At 39.5% G+C, this 25,314-nt stretch overlaps 1 protein-coding gene across 7 annotated transcripts in view; it reads right to left on the reverse strand.

The window, feature by feature from the left end:
- TEX11 (testis expressed 11) overlaps window positions 1-25,314 on the reverse strand; it is a 397,485-nt gene that overhangs the window by 113,275 nt on the left and 258,896 nt on the right. For all 7 annotated transcript variants that reach the window (XM_017029649.1, XM_017029650.1, XM_017029651.2 and 4 more), the window contains 2 exons: window positions 5,110-5,234; window positions 338-423 (listed from right to left, as the gene is read on the reverse strand). In XM_017029649.1, the coding sequence (XP_016885138.1) occupies window positions 338-423; window positions 5,110-5,234 (211 nt within the window). The remainder of the gene's footprint in view (window positions 1-337; window positions 424-5,109; window positions 5,235-25,314) is intronic.

A 25,314-nucleotide genomic window follows, 5' to 3' on the forward strand; every position in this document is an offset into this window, starting at 1 on the left:
GATTTTTAAATATTTACCTTACTGAAGGGATGCAAGTATCTCAAGACTCCTCTGACTCTTTTATTTATGTGACTCCATTTCCCTTTGGAAATGTGGCCTCAAGTGTAATTGACCAACAGGAGAACCACTCTAGAATCCTGCTGGTTTCTTATTTCTCACTGTGGCATTTTCTCAGTCATACCATTAAGTATTTATCAAGTCCCAACCTCACCCTCCTCTGCTTCGCTATTTTATGTAAGTTTCCTTGATCTCAATAGCACTATTTTGGCAGTTTATTGACTAAGAGCAAGATAAGCAGAGGAAATACTTTCTCTTCCACAGGATGTAGGTTACTTACTTTACAGCTGTAAGAACTTGTTCCTGGTCTTCTGAATGTTGAGCTAAATATTCCAAAGCTTTTTCTGCCACAATTTGTTGTCCATTCTAAAAAGAACAAATATAATACGTTAAATTACATCTCAAAGTGATACTGCAAAATATTATCTATATTCCTGTTCATTAAAGATAAGACAAATATCTAAACATGTTCATTTTGTATTCTCAAAAACGCTACTGCAAGATGGTAGAATGAAGATGCAACTCACTGACAAAAACAGGACACATTTGCATTAGCCCCGGAAACCGAATCCTCCCTATTCACAAACACTCAAAGCCTTGCCAATACTACCCTTAGTCCACTAGGACTAATCTTATTGTGCTCTTTATCCCCCACTTATTAGCAGTAAACAAAAGAACCCCAGATTGTCAGGTCACCCTCATTTCCAGCACTCTATTCCCAAAAGTCTCCATATATCCCCTCTTCTGTCCTCTTTTTCTATCTCTCCCCGACTCCTCCAACCCTTCCACTATGCTCTCTGAAATTCAGTCCACTTTCAGCAAAATCTCCTCTACCAGCAACCTCTTCCCTAAAAGTTTCCTCCATATTCTTGCTCTAATGGAAATCTAGGTTTCTGCCAAGGATGCTGCTTCCACTGAAGCCCTCTTAAGTGGTAGCTGTTTTTGCTCTCACTAGCTTACCCATAGGCCTGGAGATGGAGTAGGTGTCTTTCTTGCTCTTCATTGCCATTTTAAAATTATTCTCCCATTCTATTCCCTAAAATCCTCAACTTTGAATTTCCTATAACCAGACTATATCACCCACTACCCTTCATTGTTGCTGTGGCCTACTAGCTCCCAGGTCATTTCTTCTCATTTGTTGGTGACTTACTTATTGCTCAGTTATATTTTCCAAAAACTGCTCCTGTCTTAATTTTTGGCATTTTCTTTTTCTTTTTCTTTTTTTTTTTTTTAAGATGGATTCTTGCTCTTGTCACCCAGGCTGAAGCAACCTCTGCTTCCTGGGTTCAAGCGATTCTCCTGCCTCAGCCTCCTGAGTAGCTGGGATTACAGGCACCCGCCACTACGCCTGGCTAATTTTTGTAGTTTTTTTAGAGATGGGGTTTCACCATGTTGGCCAGGCTGGTCTCGAACTCCTGACCTCAGGTGATCCACCCGCCTGGGCCTCCCAAAGTGCTGGGATTACAAGCGTGAGCCACTGCGCGCGGCATATTTTCCGCATTTTCAATATATAGGTAGAGGATCCTCCCAATATTCTAGTTTCCTGGTTTCTGAAATTTTACTCTAACAATTACCTTAGCCATTTACTCCCACAGTCATTCACTAGACTCTGTCATTACTAACAATTGCAATCATTTCACACTCTCAGTCAGGGCTAGGAGTAGGGTGGGACAGGTGAGGTGAGTGAAGCACCTAGGGTGAAAAATTTAAGGAGGCTCTCAGTGTTGTACAAGTACCAAGCCTTTACTTGTACCACCCAGAGAATAAGTTCCTCCTTAAGTTTTGTGCCCTAGGTGTCTCCCTCCCTCCCCCTAGTTCTCCACCCCAGCTCTTACTTTCACACATTCTACTTTCTGTCTACCGCCTCTTACCTTTCCAACTTGATACCTCTATTACCCTGACTCCAGCAATCCTTCAACTGCAGTAAGACCCCCAACCCACTGATGTTACCAGTTTTTCACTGTCCCTCATCCCCTTGATGTTCTACCGCATACCCAGTTTAAATTCCATGGAGACTAATTATAACCACTCCCTTGTTCCTTGATTTTCCTGCCCTTCTTTTGCTTTATTGTATTCATCTGGCAAAACCTCAACTCTGATTAAGTCCAACTTTCTACTGATTTTGGTGCTTACATCCACTCATCAGCTGAATGTGGCCAGAAAAAAATACATACAACTACTTGTTTTATTTTAAAACTTCATGAAATGGCCTTAGTGCTACTGGCAAGCATATTGCACTTCCGTAGTCATTCACTTTCTTACTTTTCTGAATGAATAGTTAATACCTTATCCCTTCTTCTCAACTCCCTAATACCTCCTCTCCTGAGCTCATAATTTGACACTGAGAATGGTTGAAGAGAAAAGAGGAACTAGCAAAGGAGAAAGAAAGAGTGACTCATGAGGTAGGATAAAAATAAGGATAATGTGGTGTCCTGGAAGCCAACTGTGTTTCAAGGAGGAAAGAGTGATCAACTGCATTGAATGTTGCTGATAGGTCAAATACAATGAGGACTGAGAATTAACCACTGCAATTTACGATAAAGAGGTCATTGGTGACCTTGACAAAAGCAGTTTTGTTAGAGTGGTGGGGCAAAAGCCTGATTGGAGTAAGCTCAAGAGAGAATTGGAGACAGTAAATATAGGCAAATCTTTAGAGGAGTTTAACTACAAAGGGAAGAAGAGAAATTGGGGAGTAGTTGGTGAGAGAAGGAAGGTCAAGAGGTTTTCTTACTTTTTGTTTGTTTGATATGGGATAAATGAGCATGTTCATATGCTGATGGGAATAAACCAGTAAGAGAATAAAATGTTGACAAAGTGAGTGAGAAAAAGGCAAGAGGTGATAGAAACAAGTGTGTAAGTTTAGAGACTGGCTTTAGGAAGGAACATGATAGCTAATCTATGGTGGCAGTTGAGAAGGCAGACTATGTGGTGTGATTCCTGGTGTGTGAGTAGAGGTAGTAGGAATCTGTGGAAGTTCTCTTCCTGACTGCTTCAGTTTTCAGAACCTAGAATATCCACATTTTCTCTTGGGAGGTGGGGGAATGAATTTTGTAAAGGGATTTAAAGATAAGGTAGCTTATTTTAAAAGAAAAGAAAGCAATGTTTTGCCTGCTTAATACCCCACTCTCACTACCCTTGTCTAGACTCTCATTATTTTAAAACTGGATTATTATCACAGTCTCCCATTCTGTCCTACATATAATTTCTCCCCATTCATTTCCCCATGCACAACCCAAATTATTTTCCTAAAGCACTACTTTTACATAAATTACCATCAATATTTTCTTATTGTTTAGAGAATAAAATGTATATATAATCTTGTCACAGCTATTTCTTCTACTTTATCTCATACTCCTCCCCTATAGCATCAACATAATAATAAAAGTCATGGCTGGTGCAGTGGCTCATGCCTGTAATCCCAGCACTTTGGGAGGCTGAGGTAGACAGATCACTTAAGGCCAAGAGCTCCAGACCAGCTTGGCCAACATGGTGAAACCCCGCCTCTACTAAAAATACAAAAATTAGTCAGGTGTGGCTGGCGCACACCTGTAATCCCAGCTACATGGGAGGCTGAGGCACAAGAATCACTTGAACCTGAGAGGCAGAGGTTACAGTGAGCTGAGATTACGCCACTGCACTCCAGCCTGGGTGACAGAGTGAGACTTTGTCAAAAAAAAAAAAAAAGCCACTATTACATCAGGCAAAACATCTGGAATGGTGGAAACATAAGCCCTCCATCACTTTAACCAAACACTGTGTCTCTCAAGCCAATCACATTCCTTTCTCCATGTCTTGTTTATACCATCTCTTCCTTTAAAAAAACATTCTTACTTATGTAAATGCTACTCTTTCCAAAGCCCAACTTAAGGTTTCCTTCCGCTGTAGAGACTTCCCAAATCGATTCTGGTTCTCAGTGCTCTCTTCCTACTCTGAATTTTGGTAATTTTTAACATATATATTAGCTATTTGGTCTTTATTCTATATACTTACATAGAACTCTATATTCTGTAGACTTACTTTCCTAATGCATGGCTTGTCTGTTCAAATTGACTTGTGAGGTCCTGAAGGAACATATTTCTAGCATCTAGCCCAATATCTTGCCCAAAGTAGTTGCTAAATACAGTTTGAATGATATGTATTTTGATGTTAGTGAGAAGGGTAATAGAACTCCTGAAGGAAGAAAAGTATTTGGCAGATGCAGATATGGAATGTATTTGTGCAGAATGGGGAAGAAGATGAAAGAGAGGAAACCCAAAAGCAATTATCTTTTTAAAGGAAGGTTTATAAATGTACATTTGATGTAGAAAGCCAAAGAGAGCTACTGGAAGAAATATGGAACTGTAGTTCTGATCAGGAAGATGGTTTTCCTATTTAAAGTAGTTTTAAAAAGAAGATAAACTTAATAGTTTATAAAGCACATTTTCAGCCATCTTAATCGATTTTCATAACAATCCTGGAGGTAGGCATTATCTTTATTTTGCAAAGGATGAAATTAAGATTTGAAGAAGTTAAGCACAGATTAAATGGCAGAGCCAGTATTCAAACCTAGTCTAAGAGCTCCACAGATGCTACTATGCTTTTCCTAATTCAATATATTAATAAAACCAGAATTCTGTAGTAACAAACAGGGGTACAATTATTTATTACTTCTAAACTAATACTATTTTGTGGTTATGAACTCAAAGGATCTCCAGAAATTTAAACCATTTTGTTCAAATTGATGAGAAAGATAAGTTTCTATATAGATAGCTATTTATTGACATGGTATGGCATTTTGAATTTGGAGTTTCTTTTAAAAAATTAATGTTTTGCTACGTTTATTTTTATGTTGTTTTGAGCACAACTCTGTTACCTCACTGTTTCATTTACTTTAGTCTGCATTATAGTGAAATGAGAAGAAATAAAGCAGTTCTGCAACCAAGTTTGGCATGAAAATATGAGGCAAAACAAACAGTAAAGGTCTCTTCTGTGTCTAACTGATAATGATTCTATTAATTGTCTTTCAAAAAGGAAAAGGGATAAAAATCTAGTAGATGAATACATATGAATTACCTCTAGAGCAAACTGGGCAGCTAAACTTAGAAGCATGGTAGGTGAACCTCTCTCTGCAACTAGATCATTATCTTCTGACTCTTCATCTGTTAATATATTCTCTAAAGTAATTATTGCCTGCAAAGCTGAAAAACAAGAAAAAAATTCAAAAATGATATACTCTAATCAAAGAAATTACATATCTATGGTTAATTATGCCACAATGAATTTGGAACTTATTTTAAGAACATTTTTAAAATGTTAGTATTCATAAAGTAATGTGAGTTGCTAAGCTTTCAAGGAGGATTTGAACACCAGAAAAATGCCCAACTGAGCAACTGCACATGCACTTCTGTGAATTTATCTTACGGATATATTTGCAAAAGTAAACAAATACACATAAGGATGTTCATCCAGCATTGTTTATAAGAGTAAAATATGGGCCAGGCGCGGTGGCTCACGCCTGTAATCCCAGCACTTTGGGAGGCCGAGGAGGGTGGATCGCGAGGTCAGGAGATCGAGACCATCCTGGCTAACACGGTGAAACCCCGTCTCTACTAAAAATACAAAAAATTAGCCAGGTGCAGTTGCGGGCGTCTGTAGTCCCAGCTACTCGGGAGGCTGAGGCAGGAGAATGGCGTTAACCCGGGAGGCGGAGCTTGCAGTGAGCCGAGATCGGGCCACTGCACTCTAGCCTGGGTGACAGAGCGAAACTCTGTCTCAGAAAAAAAAAAAAAAAAAGAGTAAAATATGAAATCAGCCTAAATTCCATCATAATTAATGGGCAAAACACACTTTGGTACATCCATAATTTGAAATATAATACAGAATAAAATAAAAAATTGAGTAGCTGTGTGTTATATTCCATTATATTCTTAAAGGTGGAATATGACAAGTTAAATATGTGTACTATAGACTTCAAGCAACAAATAAATATTTGTTCAAACTAATAAGCAAAAAGGGAGATAAATGTAATCATAAAAATTCAATTAATCCAAAATAAAGCAGAAAAAAGGAAAAAGAGCAAATGGGACAAACAGAAGATAATTAATAAGATGCTAAATTTAAATCTATGTGTATCAATATCTATGTTAAATATAAATGACCAAATGACCAATTAAAAGGCAGAGATAGTAAGACTGAAAACAAAACAAAACACATCTTTTAAATATATGCCACCTACAAGAAATACACTTTAAATATAAAAGCAAAATTGATTGAAAGAAGAGGATGGGATAATATACACTAAAGTGAAGGTAATCAAAAGAAAGCTGGAGTGGCTATATTAATATCAGATAAAGTGAATTTCAGAGCAAAGAATATTATTGGCAATAAAAGGTTATTTCAAGACAATAATCAGTTTATCATGAGGACATAACTCTGAATGCTTATGCACCCAATAAAATTTCAAAATATAAGAAGCAAAAGCTGGTAGAACTGCAAGAAGAAATGAACAAATCCACAATTATAGTTAAAGATTTCAATATCCTCTCTCAATAACTGATAGAATAGAAAATCAGCAAGGATTCAGTACACTTAACACTAAATCAACTTGATGTGGCTAACATTTATAACACATTCAACCCAACACCAGCAAAATGTATATTCCTCTCAAGTGCACATGAAATATTTACCAAGAAAAACAATATTCTAGGCCCTAGAACAAGTCTCAATATATTTAAAAGGATTAAAGTCATACAAAGTATGATCTTTGACTACAATGAAATGAAATTAAAAATCAACAAAAGAATGTTCTCTGGAAAATCTGCAAATATTTGGAAAATAAGTAACACATCTAAATAATCCACAAGTTTAAAAAGGAATCCAAAGTTAAATTGGAAAGTATTTGGAACCAAATTAAAATGAAAACATCCTCTGCCAACCCTGATTCCACGCTGATTTTAGCCCAGTGAACTGATTTGGGACTGCGGCCTCCTGAACTGTAAGATAATGGATTGTGTTGTTGTAAGCTATTAACTTTGTGGTAATTTATTGGCAGCCTTTACAACAGCAGCAACAGGAAACTAATATGATATCCAAATGGTCCCTCCTTTGAGAGTATTATAAATATCTCGAAAAGATCTCTGTTTTCCTTAATCCTCACCCTCGCATAAGTTTCAAAGCCTAACGTCATGGTGTCATCTATAAAGTTGTTAGTTCACTGTAAAAGAACTGTTGAAATATAGACCATCATGTCACTTCCTCCGAATCAGAAGACTGTGTGTTGTGGAAATACTGTATGCAACAGGGAAGGCTATGTTTCCAAAGAGAAGTAAAGCCTTCCCCTTTGCATATGGTAAAGCTCAAGTAATTGTTGATACAAGGACAAATAAATGCATGGAGGAATGCAGGGGGAAAAACAGCCATTGAAAATCAACAAGTAACTCAACCGTTTCTGTTTAATATTAGATGAGTTTCAGTGTTAAAACTCATTGTAAGACATAATATTAACAAATGGGAAAATCAATGCTTGGCTTCTAAATTAGCCTTTGTTTTCATTTGGGTCTAATAAAAATGCTAAAGGAAAACCTGAAAAAAAAAAAAAATGAAAACATGACATATCAAAATTTGTGTATCGTCACTAAACAGTAATTAGATGATAATTTGTAGCATTAACTGTCCAGATAGACCAGAATAAAGGTCTTAAATCAATGACCTCAGTGTTCACCTTTAGAAATAAGAAGAAGTAGAGCAAATGGAACTCAAAGAAAGCAGAAGAATGGATATGATAAAGATCAGAACGTAAATAAATTAAATAGAAATCAGATAAAAACAATAGAGGCCAAGGTAGGAGGATCGTTTGAGCCCAGGAGTTTGAGACCAGCCTGGGCAACATGGTGAGACCCTATCTCTACAAAAAAGTTTTAAAATGAGCTAGGTGTAGTGGCATGCACCTGTGGTCCCAGCTACTCGGGAGGATGAGGCAGGAGGATAAACTGAGCCTGGGAGGCCAAGGCTGTAGTGAGCTGTGTTCGTTTTTTTGAGACTCTATCAAAAACAAAAACAAAAACAAAACTGATAGAGAAAAATTAGTAAAACCAAAAGCTGGGTTCTTTGAGAAGATCAATAAAATTGACCTTCTACACTGATTGATCCTTTAGTTACACTGACCAGGAAGAAAAATAGAGAAGACATAAATTACAAATATCAGAAATAAGAAAGGTTACAGGTGTTAAAAGGATAATATGGGGGATATTATGAACAACTTTAGGCCCATAATTTCAACAACTTAGATGAAACAAATTTTTGAAAGACACAAACCACCAAAGCTAAATCAATAAATAATAGATAACTTGAATAGCCCTATATCTATTAAAGACATTTAATTTATAATTAAAAACCTTTGCATAAAGAAAACTCCAGTCCCAGATGGCTTCACTGGTGAAATCTACCAAAAACATTTGAGGAAGAAATAATATCATTTCAACACAAACTCTTCCAGAAAACTGAAAAGGAGAATATACTTCCCAATTCACCCTATGAAGTCAGTATTACTCTGATAGCAAAACCAAAAACATTACAGGAATATAAAACTACAAACCAATTTCATTCATGAACATAGATACACATATTCTAAACAAACCATTAGCAAATCAAATTATATAAAAAGGAGTATACATCATGATCAAGTGGGGCTTGTTCCAGAAATACAGCATTGGTTTAACATTTGAAAATCAATTAATGTAACTGACTATATTAACAATTTTTTAAAAATTGACCATTTCAACAGATGCAGAAAACCATACAACCAAATTCAACATCCATTCCTTACCCCTCCCACCACCAAATGGAACTCCCTCAACCTGATAAAGGATATCTGTGAAAAACCTACAGCTAACATACTTACTGGTGGAAGACTGAATGCTTTCCCCCTAAAATCAGGAAAAAGATAAGGATGTCCACTCTCATCAGTTTTACTCAAATTTTACTGGAGAATCTAACAAGAGCAACAAAGCAAGAAAAAAATAAATTGCACCCAGATTGAAAAAGAAGTGAAATTATCTTTACCCACAGGCAACATGATTGTCTATTTAGAAAATCTGATGGGGCTGGTGCAGTAGCTCATGCCTGTAATCCCAGCACTTTGGGAGGCCAAGGTGGGAGGATTCCTTGAGGCCAGGAGTTCGAGACCAGCCTGGCCAACGTGGTGAAACCCCATTTCTACTAAAAATACAAAAATTAGCCAGGCGTGGTGGTGCATGCCTGTAATCCCAGTTTCTTGGGAGGCTGAGGCACGAGAATCGTTTGAACCCAGGAGGTGGAGGTTGCAGTGAGCCGAGATCATGCCACCGCACTCCAGCCTAGGTGACAGAACAGGTCTCGAAACAGAACAGGTCTCATAAACAAACAAACAAAACAAAACAAAAATAAAATAAAATCTGATGGAATCTACAGGGAAGGTACTGTACTGCAACTAATAAGTGAGTTTACCAAAGTTGTGGGATATAAGATCAATATACAAGAAATCATTTGTATTTCTACATATCAACAATAAGCAATCGGAAACCAAATTTTTTTAAAATGCCATTTAAAATAGCATAAAATATAGTGTACTTAGGGATAAATCTGACAAAAGATGCAGAAGACAGGTACAATGAAAAGTAGAAAACATTGCTGAGAGAAATTAAAGACCTAAATAAATGGAGGTATGTAAGTTGTTCGTGGTTTGGAAGACTCAGCAACGTTGTTAAGATGTCAGTTATCCCCAAGCTGATCTATAGATTCAATGTAATACGAATCAAAATTCATTTATGCAAAACTTAAAATAATGATTCTAAAATTCATATGGATATACAAAGGCCTTGGAATAGCCAAAACAATTAGAAAGAGAACAAAGTTGGGGTTCAAATTTATTACATAGCTACACTAATAAAGACAGCATGGGAATAGTGTAAGGATGGATTTGTTAAAGTTGACTTCAAATTTATTACATAGCTACACTGATAAAGACAGTATGGGAATAGCGTAAGGATGGATGAATAGAAGAATGGAATGGAATAGAGTCCAGAAAGAGATCCACACATATATGACAACTAATTTCTGATAAAGGCACAAAGGCAATTCAACAGAGAAAGAATAGTTTGTTAAACAAATGATGCTGGAACAATTGGATAGTCATGTGCAAAAAAAAAAAAAAATTTTCAATCCATACCTTGAACCAAATACAAAAATTAACTAAAAATTGTTCATAGACATAAATGTAAACCTAAAACTGTAAAATTTCTTGAAGAAAACATGAGACCTTTTCTGTCACCTTGCAGTAGGCAAAGATTTCTCAACTACAATGCCAAAAGCACAATCCATAAAAGAAGAAAAATAAATAGGACTATGTCGAAATTTAAAACTTCTGTTCATGAAAGACGGTGTTAATAAAAAGAAAAAATTTGCAAAATACATGTCTGATAAAGAGCTTGTGTCCACTGAACATCAACAAGATGGTGGAATAGGACTTTCCAGCGCTCATTCCCCACAAGAACATCAATTTGAACAACTATCCACACATGGAAATACCTCCACAAGAGCTAGGAAAACTAGGTGAGAGATTGCAGCACCTGGCTGTGGCACAGAAATAGAAAAGATGCATTGAAGAGTGTAGGAACAACAGCTTTTTAATACCCATGTCACCCCTCCCCCAACCCCAGGCCATAGAGCATGAAGACAGATATCCTCCACTTAGGGGAAGAAGAGGAAAGTGAGTACTGGAATTTACCTCAGACCACAACAATGGGCTGGCGGCAGTAAAACTCATCACTGGGCAGGCCCCCATGGCCCCAGACTCCAGGTCATATCCTGCAGACCCAGGCTCCAGACCTGCCCGAAGGACTTGATCTCTAGGACTGCCACATCACCAGGCCAACCCCAGCGGATTCAGGCTCCAGACTGGCCCCAGTGCTGGACCAGACCCATTAGCCCCAGGCTTTGGGCCTGTCCCAGTGCCATAGCAGTCCTAACAGACTCAGGCTTTAGATGCAGTCTCTATCCTTAGGACGAGGCTGACATCAGTAGTTCCAGGCACCAGATTGCTGCCAGTATGAAGCTGGATCCCCCGTAGCCCCAGGCTTCAGGTCTGCCTCAGCACTAGGCCAGCCCCACAGCCCTAGTCATCAGGTCAGCACCCATGGACCCAGCCTCTAGGCTGCTCCTTGTAGATATAGGATCCAGGCCTACTCAGTGCCAGGCCAGCCCCTGCAGCCCCAGGATCCAGGCATACCCCAGGTTTTCAGACCACCTCAGAGCTAGGTCAGCCCACACAGCCCCAGGCTACAGGCCTGCCCCAATACCAGATCTGTACCCCTGGCCATAGGTACGAGGCTAGCACTCATGAACACAGCCTTCACACCTGCTTATGTCACTCCACACTCCAGTGGAGCCACGGTCCAAGTCTGCTCCAGCAGACCAAGGGTCCAAGCCAATTTAGACCCTAGGGATGGGCTGGCCCCCATGGATCAAAGCCTCAGCACTTCCCCTATGCAGCCAGGTTCCAGGACAGCTCCTGCAGCTCCAGGACCCAGGTCAGACCTCACAGACCTAGCCTCCAGGCTAGCATACACACATCCATCCCCCAGGCTGGCCCCCACAGACCCAGGCCCCAGGCAGGTCCCCACAGCCCCACACACTAGGCCAGCCAGTGTGTCTCCAAATAGCAATTTAGTACCAACAATCCCAGGCTTCAAGGCAGTCCTTGTGGCCCGAGGCTCCACATCTGCCCCAACTCCAGGCCAGCTCCAGGCTCTAGGACTGTCTCAGTGGCCCCAAGCTCCAGTAGACCCAGGGTCCAGGCCTGCTGCAGTAGGCCAAGGGTCTAGTACCACCCCAGTAGACCCAGGTGCCAGGCTAGCCCCCATGGACTGAGGCTCTAAAACCACCCCTACAAACCAAGGTTCCAGGCCAGCACCCACTGACCTAGGACTGAGGCCTGCCCTAGTCCTCAGGCTTGAGGCCCACCCCAGTGCCAGGCCAACCCCTACAGACTCAGGCTCCAGGCCTATCCCAGGGGACCCAGGCACAAGGCCCATTCCCACCTGGCTGGCTCTTGCAGATTCAGACTCACCACTTTAGTGTTTGGTCAGCCAATGGGGGCCTAAACTTCAGGCCAGCCCCATTGGATACAGGCTCCAAGCCCAATCCTTCAGACCCAATCAAGAAGTCCACCTCAGTGGATATAGGCTCCAGATCCAACCCCATGGACCTAGGCATCCAGGCCCACCCAGCTGCTAATCCAGGAACAAGGCCAGGCTGCCAAAGGACTCCAGGAGTCAGCACACATGTGAACCATGCAAAACAGCCTACCCATAGTTCCTTGATAGGCCAATAAAGTGCCTTCCCAGACTAAAGAGCTGCTGCACAGCAGAAGAAACCATCATCAGAATGAACAAATAAATTATAGAATGGGAGAAAATTTTTACAATCTATCCATCTGACAAAGGCCTAATACCCAGCATCTACAAGGAACCTAAGCAAATTAAAAAAAAAGAAAACCCACTAAAAAGTGGGCAAAGGACATGAACAGACACTTCTCAAAAGAAGACATACACATGGCCAACAAATGTATGAAAAATAGCTCAACATCACTGATCATTAGGGAAATGCAAATCAAAACCACAATGAGATACCATCTCATGCCAGTCAGAATGACTATTATTAAAAAGTCAAAAAACAACAGATGCTGGCAAGGTTGTGTGTGGAGAAAAAGGAATGCTTTTACACTTTTACACTGTTGGTGGGAATGTAAATTAGTAGTTCAACCATTGTGGAAGACAGTATGGTGATTTCTCGAAGACCTACAGGCAGAAATACTATATGACCTGGCAATCCCATTACTGGGTATATACCCAAAGGAATATAAATCATTCTGTTATAAAAATAATGCACACGTATGTTCATTGTAGCACTATTCACAATAGCAAAGACATATAATCAACGTATGCCCATCAATGATAGACTGAATAAAGAAAATGTGGTACATATACACCATGGAATACTATGCAGCCATACAAAGGAACAAGACCACGTCCTTTGCAGGGACATAGATGGAGCTGGAAGCCATTATCCTCAGCAAACTAATGCAGGAACAGAAAACCAAATACTGCATGTTCTCACTTATAAGTGGAAGCTGAATGATGAGAACACATGGACACATGGGGGTTAGCAACACATACTGGGGCTTGCTGGAGGGTGGGGGCTGGGAGGAGGGATATCATAAGGAAGAACAGTTAGTGGATGCTGGACTTAACACCTAGGTGATGGGATGATTTATGCAGCAAACCACCATGGCACACGTTTACCTATGTAACAAACTTGCACATCCTGCACATGTCCCCCTGAACTTACAAGCTGGAAATAAAAAAAAAATAACATTAAAAAAAGATCTTCCTCAATAAAAAAAAAAGCTTAGGGACTTATGGGACAACAACAAAAGGGCAAATATCTGAATTATAGGAGTTCAATAAGGAGAAAAGAGATATGAAGGTCTGGAAAACACATTTCAATCAATAGCAACAGAAAACTTTCCGAACCTGGGGAAAGATAAATATACAGGTACAGGAGGGTCATCAGTCTCCAATAAGATACAATCCAAACAAGACAACACCAAGACATATTATAATCAAACTGTCAAAAATCAACATAAAAGAGAGGATCCTGAAAGTAACAATAGAAAAGCAGCATATCACATATAAAGGAGTTCCAATAAAGCTAGCAGTGCTCTTCACAGCAGAAATATAGGCCACGAAAGAGTGGGAAGATATATTCAAAGTGCCGAAGAGAAAAAACCCTGCCAATTAATACTTTACCCAGTAAAGCTATCCTTCAGAAATGAAGGAGAGATAAAGACTTTACCAGACAAACAAAAGCTGAGGGAGTTCATTGCCACCCAGACTTGTCTTACTAGAAACTAACAGTTAGTTTTTTTGAAAAGATAAACAAAATCACCAGGTATGGTGGCTCACACCTGTAATCCCAGCACTTTGGGAGGCTGAGGTGGGCAGATCACTTGAGGTCAGAATTTTGAGACCAGCCTGGCCAATGTAGTGAAACTCCATCTCTACTAAAAATGCAAAAAATTATCTGGGCATGGTGGCATGTGCCTGTAGTCCCAGCTACTTAGGAGGCTGAAGCAGAAGAACTGCTTGAACCCGGGAGGTGGAGGTTGCAGTGAGCCAAGATGGCGCCACTGCATTCCAGCCTGGGAGACAGAGCAACTGTCTCAAAAAAAAAAAAAAAAAAGATGAACAAAATTGACAAACTTTTATTTAGACTAAGAAAAAAAGATAAGGCTCAAATAAATAAAACAAGAAATGAAAGAGAAGACATTGGAGGAGCCAAGATGGCCGAATAGGAACAGCTCCAGTCTACAGCTCCCAGCATGAACCACGCAGAAGACGGGTGATTTCTGCATTTCCATCTGAGGTACCCGGTTCATCTGACTAGGGAGTGCCAGACAGTGGGCGCAGGTCAGTGGGTGCGCCCACCGTGCGCTAGCCGAAGCAGGGCGAGGCATTGCCTCACTCGGCGGGGGGAAGCGCAAGGGGTCAGGGAGTTCCCTTTCCTAATCAAAGAAAGGGGTGACGGACGGCACCTGGAAAATCGGGTCACTCCCACCTGAATACTGCGCTTTTCTCACGGGCTTAAAAAACAGCGCACCACGAGATTATATCCCGCACCTGGCTCGGAGGGTCCTACCCCACGGAGTCTCGCTGATTGCTAGCACAGCAGTCTGAGATCAAACTGCAAGGCGGCAGTGAGGCTGGGGGAGGGGCGCCCACCATTGCCCAGGCTTGCTTAGGTAAACAAAGCAGCCGGGAAGCTCGAACTGAGTGGAGCCCACCACAGCTCAAGGAGGCCTGCGTGCCTCTGTAGGCTCCACCTCTGGGGGCAGGGCACAGACAAACAAAAAGACAGCAGTAACCTCTGCAGACTTAACTGTCCCTGTCTGACAGCTTTGAAGAGAGCAGGGGTTCTCCCAGTACGCAGCTGGAGATCTGAGAACGGGCAGACTGCCTCCTCAAGTGGCTCCCTGACCCCTGACCCCCAAGCAGCCTAACTGGGAGGCACCCTCCAGCAGGGGCAGACTGACACCTCACACTGCAGGGTACTCCAGCAGACCTGCAGCTGAGGGTCCTGTCTGTTAGAAGGAAAACTAACAAACAGAAAGGACATCCACACTAAAAACCCATCTGTACATCACCATCATCAAAGACCAAAAGTAGATAAAACCACAAAGATGGGGAAAAAACAGAACAGAAAAACTGGAAACTCTAAAAATCAGAGCGCCTCTCCTCCTCCAAAGGAATGCAGCCCCTCACCAGCAACAGAACAAAGCTGGACGGAGAAGGACTTTGACGAGCTGAGAGAAGAAGACTTCAGACGATCAAATTAATCTGAGCTACGGGAGGACATTCAAACCAAAGGCAAAGAAGTTGAAAACTTTGAAAAAAATTTAGAAGAATGTATAACTAGAATAACCAATACAGAGAAGTGCTTAAAGGAGCTGATGGAGCTGAAAACCAAGGCTCGAGAACTACCTGAAGAATGCAGAAGCCTCAGGAGCCGATGCGATCAACTGGAAGAAAGGGTATCAGCAATGGAAGATGAAATGAATGAAATGAAGCGAGAAGGAAAGTTTAGAGAAAAAAGAATAAAAAGAAATGAGCAAAGCCTCCAAGAAATATGGGACTATGTGAAAAGACCAAATCTATGTCTGATTGGTGTACCTGAAAGTGATGGGGAGAATGGAACCAAGTTGGAAAACACTCTGCAGGATATTATCCAGGAGAATTTCCCCAATCTAGCAAGGCAGGCCAACGTTCAGATTCAGGAAATACAGAGAACGCCACAAAGATACTCCTCGAGAAGAGCAACTCCAAGACACATAATTGTCAGATTCACCAAAGTTGAAATGAAGGAAAAAATGTTAAGTGCAGCCAGAGAGAAACGTCAGGTTACCCTCAAAGGGAAGCCCATCAGACTAACAGCGGATCTCTCGGCAGAAACCCTACAAGCCAGAAGAGAGTGGGGACCAATATTCAACATTCTTAAAGAAAAGAATTTTCAACCCAGAATTTCATATCCAGCCAAACTAAGCTTCATAAGTGAAGGAGAAATAAAATACTTTACAGACAAGCAAATGCTGAGAGATTTTGTCACCACCAGGCCTGCCCTAAAAGAGCTCCTGAAGGAAGCACTGAACATGGAAAGGAACAACGGGTACCAGCTGCTGCAAAATCATGCCAAAATGTAAAGACCATCGAGACTAGGAAGAAACTGCATCAACTAACGGGCAAAAGAACCAGCTAACATCATAATGACAGGATCAAATTCACACATAACACTATTAACCTTAAATGTAAATGGACTAAATGCTCCAATTAAAAGACACAGACTGGCAAATTGGATAGAGTCAAGACCCATCAGTGTGCTGTATTCAGGAGACCCATCTCACTTGCAGAGACACACATAGGCTCAAAATAAAAGGATGGAGGAAGATCTACCAAGCAAATGGAAAACAAACAAAGGCAGGGGTTGCAATCCTATTCTCTGATCAAACAGACTTTAAACCAACAAAGATCAAAAGAGACAAAGAAGGCCATTACATAATGGTAAAGGGATCAATTCAACAAGAACAGCTAACTATCCTAAATATATATGCACCCAATACAGGAGCACCCAGATTCATAAAGCAAGTCCTGAGTGACCTACAAAGAGACTTAGATTCCCACACATTAATAATGGGAGGCTTTAACACCCCACTGTCAATATTAGACAGATCAACGAGACAGAAAGTCAACAAGGATACCCAGGAATTGAACTCAGCTCTGCACCAAGAGGACCTAATAGACGTCTACAGAACTCTCCACCCCAAATCAACAGAATATACGTTTTTTTCAGCACCACACCACACCTATTGCAAAACTGACCACATACTTGGAAGTAAAGCTCTCCTCAGCAAATGTAAAAGAACACAAATTATAACAAACTATCTCTCAGTCCACAGTGCAATCAAACTAGAACTCAGGATTAAGAATCTCACTCAAAACCACTCAACTACATGGAAACTGAACAACCTGCTCCTCAATGACTGCTGGGTACATAACGAAATGAAGACAGAAATAAAGATGTTCTTTGAAACCAACGAGAACAAAGACACAACATACCAGAATCTCTGGGACACATTCAAAGCAGTGTGTAGAGGGAAATTTATAGCACTAAATGCCCACAAGAGAAAGCAGGAAAGATCCAAAATTGACACCCTAACATCACAGTTAAAAGAACTAGAAAAGCAAGAGCAAACACATGCAAAAGCTAACAGAAGGCAAGAAATAACTAAGATCAGAGCAGAACTGAAGGAAATAGAGACACAAAAAAGCCTTCAAAATATTAATGAATCCAGGAGCTGGTTTTTTGAAAGGATCAACAAAATTGATAGACCGCTAGCAAGACTAATAAAGAAAAAAAGAGAGAAGAATCAAATAGACACAATAAAAAATGATAAAGGGGATATCACCACCGATCCCACAGAAATACAAACTACCATCAGAGAATACTAAAAACACCTCTATGCAAATAAACTAGAAAATCTAGAAGAAATGGATAAACTCCTCAACACATACACTCTTCCAAGACTAAACCAGGAAGAAGTTGAATCTCTGAATAGATCAATAACAGGATCTGATATTGTGGCAATAATCAATAGCTTACCAACCAAAAAGAATCCAGGACCAGATGGATTCACAGCCGAATTCTACCAGAGGTACAAGGAGGAACCGGTACCATTCCTTCTGAAACTATTCCAATCAATAGAAAAAGAGGGAATCCTCCCTAACTCATTTTATGAGATCAGCATCATTCTGATACCAAAGCCGGGCAGAGACACAACCAAAAAAGAGAATTTTAGACCAATATCCTTGATGAACATTGATGCAAAAATCCTCAATAAAATACTGGCAAACCGAATCCAGCAGCACATCAAAAAGCTTATCCACCATGATCAAGTGGGCTTCATCCTTGGGATGCAAGGCTGGTTCAATATACGCAAATCAATAAATGTAATCCAGCATATAAACAGAGCCAAAGACAAAAACCACATGATTATCTCAATAGATGCAGAAAAGGCCTTTGACAAAATTCAACAACCCTTCATGCTAAAAACTCTCAATAAATTAGGTATTGATGGGACATATTTCAAAATAATAAGAGCTATCTATGACAAACCCACAGCCAATATCATACTGAATGGGCAAAAACTGGAAGCATTCCCTTTGAAAACTGGCACAAGACAGGGATGCCCTCTCTCACCACTCCTATTCAACATAGTGTTGGAAGTTCTGGCCACGGTAATTAGGCAGGAGAAGGAAATAAAGGGTATTCAATTAGGAAAAGAGGAAGTCAAATTGTCCCTGTTTGCAGATGACATGATTGTATATCTAGAAAACCCCATTGTCTCAGCCCAAAATCTCCTTAAGCTGATAAGCAACTTCAGCAAAGTCTCAGGATACAAAATCAATGTGCAAAAATCACAAGCATTCCTATACACCAACAACAGACAAACAGAGAGCCAAATCATGAGTGAACTCCCATTCACAATTGCTTCAAAGAGAATAAAATACCTAGGAATCCAACTTACAAGGGATATGAAGGACCTCTTCAAGGAGAACTACAAACCGCTGCTCAAGGAAATAAAAGAGCATACAAACAAATGGAAGAACATTCCATGCTCATGGGTAGGAAGAATCAATATCGTGAAAATGGCCATACTGCCCAAGGTAATTTACAGATTCAATGCCATCCCCATCAAGCTACCAATGACTTTCTTCACAGAATTGGAAAAAACTACTTTAAAGTTCATATGGAACCAAAAAAGAGCCCGCATCGCCAAGTCAATCCTAAGCCAAAAGAACAAAGCTGGAGGCATCACACTACCTGACTTCAAACTATACTACAAGGCTACAGTAACCAAAACAGCATGGTACTGGTACCAAAACAGAGATATAGATCAATGGAACAGAACAGAGCCCTCAGAAATAACGCTGCATATCTACAACTCTCTGATCTTTGACAAACCTGAGAAAAACAAGCAATGGGGAAAGGATTCCCTATTTAATAAATGGTGCTGGGAAAACTGGCTAGCCATATGTAGAAAGCTGAAACTGGATCCCTTCCTTACACCTTATACAAAAATCAATTCACGATGGATTAAAGACTTAAACATTCGACCTAAAACCATAAAAACCCTAGAAGAAATCCTAGGCATTACCATTCAGGACGTAGGCATGGGCAAGGACTTCATGTCTAAAACACCAAAAGCAATGGCAACAAAAGACAAAATTGACAAATGGGATCTAATTAAACTAAAGAGCTTCTGCACAGCAAAAGAAACTACCATCAGAGTGAACAGGCAACCTACAAAATGGGAGAAAATTTTCGCAACCTACTCATATGACAAAGGGCTAATATCCAGAATCTACAATGAACTCAAACAAATTTACAAGAAAAAAAAAAACAACCCCATCAAAAAGTGGGCAAAGGACATGAATAGACACTTCTCAAAAGAAGACATTTATGCAGCCAAAAAACACATGAAAAAATGCTCACCATCACTGGCCATCAGAGAAATGCAAATCAAAACCACAATGAGATACCATCTCACACCAGTTAGAATGGCAATCATTAAAAAGTCAGGAAACAACAGGTGCTGGAGAGGATGTGGAGAAATAGGAATGCTTTTACACTGTTGGTGGGACTGTAAACTAGTTCAACCATTGTGGAAGTCAGTGTGGCGATTCCTCAGGGATCTAGAACTAGAAATACCATTTGACCCAGCCATCCCATTACTGGGTATATACCCAAAGGACTATAAATCATGCTGCTATAAAGACACATGCACACGTACGTTTATTGCGGCATTATTCACAATAGCAAAGGCTTGGAACCAACCCAAATGTCCAACAATGATAGATTGGATTAAGAAAATGTGGCACATATACACCATGGAATACTATGCAGCCATAAAAAATGATGAGTTCATGTCCTTTGTAGGGACATGGATGAAATTGGAAATCATCATTCTCAGTAAACTATCGCAAGAACAAAAAACCAAACACCGCATATTCTCACTCATAGGTGGGAATTGAACAATGAGATCACATGGACACAGGAAGGGGAACATCACACTCTGGGGACTGTTGTGGGGTGGGGGGAGGGGGGAGGGATAGCATTGGGAGATATACCTAATGCTAGATGAGGAGTTAGTGGGTGCAGCACACCAGCATGGCACATGTATACATATGTAACTAACCTGCACAATGTGCACATGTACCCTAAAACTTAAAGTATAATAAAAAAAATTAAAAAAAGATAAATAAAATAAAAAAAGAAAGAGAAGACAGTACAGCTGGTACCAGAGAAATATAAAAAATCATGCGACTACTATGAACAATTATGTACCAAGAAATTGGATAATCTAGAAGAAAGATAAAGTCCTAGACATATAAAACCGAGATGGAATCATAATGAAATAGAAAATGTGAACAAATAATGAATAAGGAGATTAAATGAATAACAAAAAATCTTCCATCTAAGAAAAGCTCAGGATCTGATGGTGTCACTGCTCCTACCAAACGTTTAAAGAACTAATACCAATCCTTCTCAAATTCTTCCAAAAAATGGAAATCATTTCACAAAATTCAACATCATTCCATGATTTAAAAAAAAAAACACAATAAAGGCCATATATGACCAATGGACAAATAACACCATACTCAATGGTGAATAGTTAGGAGCGTTTCCTCTAAAATAAGGAAGAAGACATGGATGCCCACTCTCACTACTTCTATTCAACATACTACTGGAAGTCCTAGTCAGAGTAATTAGGCATGAGAAATATCTAAGTTGGAAAGGAAGAAGTTAAATTGTCTGCTTGTAAATAACATGATCTTATATATAGAAAACCTTACAGAGGCAATGAAAAAAAATTTAGAACCAATAAGTGAATTCAATTAAGTAGCAAGATACAAAATCAATATACACAAAGTAGTAGCATTTCTACATACTAACAACAAACTACCTGAAAAAATATTAAAAACATGATTCCATTTACAATAGCTACAAAAATATTTAGGAGCAAATTTAATGTTGAAGTGAAAGACATGTACACTAAAAACTATAAAACACTGATGAAAGAAAGTGAAGAAAACACAAAGAAATGGAAAGATATCCCAGGTTCACGGATTGGAAAAATATTGTTAAATGTCCATACTACCCAAGGCAATCTACAGATGCAATGCAATCCCTATTAAAATTCCAGTGACATTTTTTCCCAGAAATAAAAAAAAAAATACTGACGTTTCCACGGAAGCAAAAAGACCCTGACTAGCTATCGCAATCTTGAGCAAAAATAAGAAAGCTGAAGTCACCATACTATGTGAAGTCAAAATAAACTACAAAGCTATACTAATCAAAACAGCATGGTATTGGCAGAAAAACAGATACATAGGCCAATGGAAGGAAATAGAGAGCCCAGAAATAAATCCACACATTTACAGTCAATTGGTTTTCAATAAAGGTGTCAAGAACACACAATGAGAAAAGGACAGTTTCTTCAACCAATAGTGTTGGTAAAACTGGATACCCACATGCAGAAGAATAAAATTTGACCCTTTTCTCACAATATATAAAAAAGCTATTCAAAATAGATTAAAGATTTAAACGTAAGACATGAAACTGTAGAACTACTAAAAGAAAACATAGAGGAAAAGTTCCACGACATTGCTAAACACAAAAATAGACACATGGGATTACATCAAACTAAAAAGCTTCCACACAGCAAAAGAAACCATCAACAGAGTGAAGACACAATGTATGGAATGGGAGAATATATTTACAAACCAGGCATTTGAGAAGGGGTTAACATCCAAAATATATAAGAAATTCAAACAATTCAATAGGAAGGAAACAAATAACCTGATTTTAAAATGGGCAAATGACCTGACAAGACACTTCTCAAAAGGAGATGAGCAAGTGGTCCACAAGTATATGAAAAAATGTCTAACATCACTACTCATCAGAGAAACGCAAATTAAAACCACGATGATAACATCACCCCACATCTGCTAGAATGGCTATTATAAAAAAGACAAAGGAGAGCAAGTGCTGACAAGGATGCGGAGAATAGGGAACTCTTGCATATTGTAGGTGGGAATGTAAATTAGTATAGCCATCATGGAAAGCAGTATGGAGGTTCCTCAAAAAAATTAAAGTAGAACTACCATATGATCCAGCAGTCCCACTACGTAGTAGAATATAAAAAAGAAGTGAAATCAATATGTCAAAGAGATATCTGCACTCCCATATTCATTGCAGCATTATTCACAATAGCCATGGTATGGAATCAACTTAACTGTTTATCGGTGGATAAGTGGATAAAGAAAATCTGGTGTATATATAGACAATGGAATACTATTCAGCCTCAATAAAAGGAGGAAATCCTGTCATTTATGAAAAAAAGGTATGAACCTCGAAGACATTATATTAAGTGAAATAAGCCAGGCACACAAAAATAAATACCACATGATCTCATATGTGAAATCTAAAGAAGTTGACCTCATAGAAGCAGAATAGAATGTTCATAGAAGCAAAGTAGAATGGTGGTTACCAGGGACTAAGGAGTCGGGGAGATTAGGGAGATGGTGAAAGAATACAGAATTTCCGTTGAGCAGAAGGAACAAGTTCAAGAGATCTATTGTACAACATGGTGACTATAGATTATAACAATGTATTCTATTCTTAAAAATCACTGAGAGTTTAAGTGTTCTCACCACAAAAAAAATGCTAAGTATGTGAGGTAGGGTTGGGTGTGATGGCTCATGCCTGTAATCCTAGCACTTTGGGAGGCTGAAGCAGGAGGATTGCTTGAGCCCAGGAGTTTGAGGCCAGCCTGGGCAACATAGTGAGACTCCATCTATACAAAAAATAATAAAAAAGATGAGGTGGAGGATCTCTTGAGCCTGGGAGGTCAAGGCTGCAATGAGCCGTGATCATTCCACTGCACTTCCACTTGGGTGACAGAGTAAGACCTTGCTTCAAAAAAATAAAAAATAAAAAAAGGATGTGAGGTAATGTATATGTTAATTAGCTTGATTTAGCCATTCCACAATGTATACATATCTTTAAAACACCATGTTGTTGCTGGAGAGGATGTGGAGAAACAGGAACACTTTTACACTGTTGGTGGGACTGTAAACTAGTTCAACCATTGTGGAAGTCAGTGTGGCGATTCCTCAGGGATCTAGAACTAGAAACACCATTTGACCCAGCCATCCCATTACTGGGTATATACTCAAAGAAGTATAAATCATGCTGCTATAAAGACACATGCACACGTATGTTTATTGCAGCACTATTCACGATAGCAAAGACTTGGAACCAACCCAAATGTCCATCAATGATAGACTGGATTAAGAAAATGTGGCACATATACACCATGGAATATTATGCAGCCATAAAAAATGATGAATTCATGTCCTTTGTAGGGACATGGATGAAGCTGGAAACCATCATTCTCAGCAAACTATAGTAAGGACAAAAAACCAAACACCGCATATTCTCACTCATAGGTGGGAATTGAACAATGAGAACACTTGGACACAGGAAGGGGAACATCACACCCCAGGGCCTGTTGTGGGATGGGGGACTGGGGAGGGATAGCATTAGGAGATATACCTAATGTAAATGACGAGTTAATGGGTGCAGCACACCAACATGGCACATGTATACATATGTAACAAACCTGCATGTTGTGCACATGTACCCTGAAACTTAAAGTATAATAATAAAATAAATAAATAAATAAAACCCACCATGTTGTTCATGATCAATATATATATAATTTTTATTTGCCAATTAAAAAAATAAGTTTTTAAAAAAGACAACTTGTATCCAGAATATATAAAGAACTGTCAAAAATCAGTAATAATAAAACAAAGTACCCTATCTTAAACTGGGAAAAAGATTTGTACAAACAACCCAAAAACATACATGGTTTAATAAAATATTAAACATTAGGGAAATGCTAATGCCACAGTAAAACACTACTACCCACTATCAGAATAGCTAAATTTTTGTTCTTTTTTATTGTTTTAACTTTAAGTTCTAGGATACATGTGCAGAAAGTGCAGTTTTATTACGTAGGCATACGTGTGTCATGGTGGTTTGATGCACCTATCAACCCATCACCTAGGTTTTAAGCCTCACATGCATTAGCTATTTGTCCTGATGTTCTCCCTCCCCTCCCCGCCCCCAACAGGCCCCAGTGTGTGTTGTTCCCCTTCCTGTGTCCATGTGTTCTCATTGTTCATCTCCCTCTTATGAGTGAGAACATGTGGTGTTTGGTTTTCGGTTCCTGCATTAGTTTGCTGAGGTTGATGGCTTCCAGCTTCATCCATGTGCCTGCAAAAGACATGATCTTATTCCTTTTTATGGCTGCATAGTATTCCACGGTGTATATGTACCACATTTTCTTTATCCAGTCTGCCATTGATGGGCATTTGGGTTGGTTCCATGTCTTTGCTATTGTGAATAGTGCTGCAATGAACACACGTGTGCATGTATCTTTATAATAGAATGGTTTATATTCCTTTGAGTATATACCCAGTAATGGGATTGCTGGGTCAAATAGTATTTCCGGTTCTAGATCCTTGAAGAATCACCATGCTGTCTTCCGCTATGATTGAACTAATTTACATTCCCACCAACAGTGTAAAAGCATTCCTATTTCTCTACAGCCTCACCAGCATCTGTTGTTTCTTGACTTTTTAATAATCTCCCAGAATGGCTAAATTTTTTTAAGTGGACAATTTCAAGTGCTGATGAGGATGTAGATCAGCTAGAACTCTTAAACATAGCTGGTTCACAGGTGAAATTGTATAGTCGCTTTAGAAAACAGTTTTGCAGTTTCTAATAAAGTTAAACATGTATTTACCATATAAGTCCACAGTCCCACTCCTAGATATTTACCCTACAGAAGTAAAATATTATCATCGAATTAACTGGGCATGGTGGTGCACACCTGTAGTCCCAGCTATTCAGGAGGCTGAGGCAGGAGAATCGCTTGAACCTGGGAGGTGGAGATTGCAGTGAGCTGAGATCATGCCACTGCACTCCAGCCTGGGTGACAGAGCAAGACCCCATCTCAAAAAAACAATATTATTATCACAGAAAATATGTAAAGAGATG

Source organism: Homo sapiens, chromosome X, assembly GCF_000001405.40.
Source record: "Homo sapiens chromosome X, GRCh38.p14 Primary Assembly".
Taxonomy (NCBI): Eukaryota; Metazoa; Chordata; class Mammalia; order Primates; family Hominidae; genus Homo; species Homo sapiens.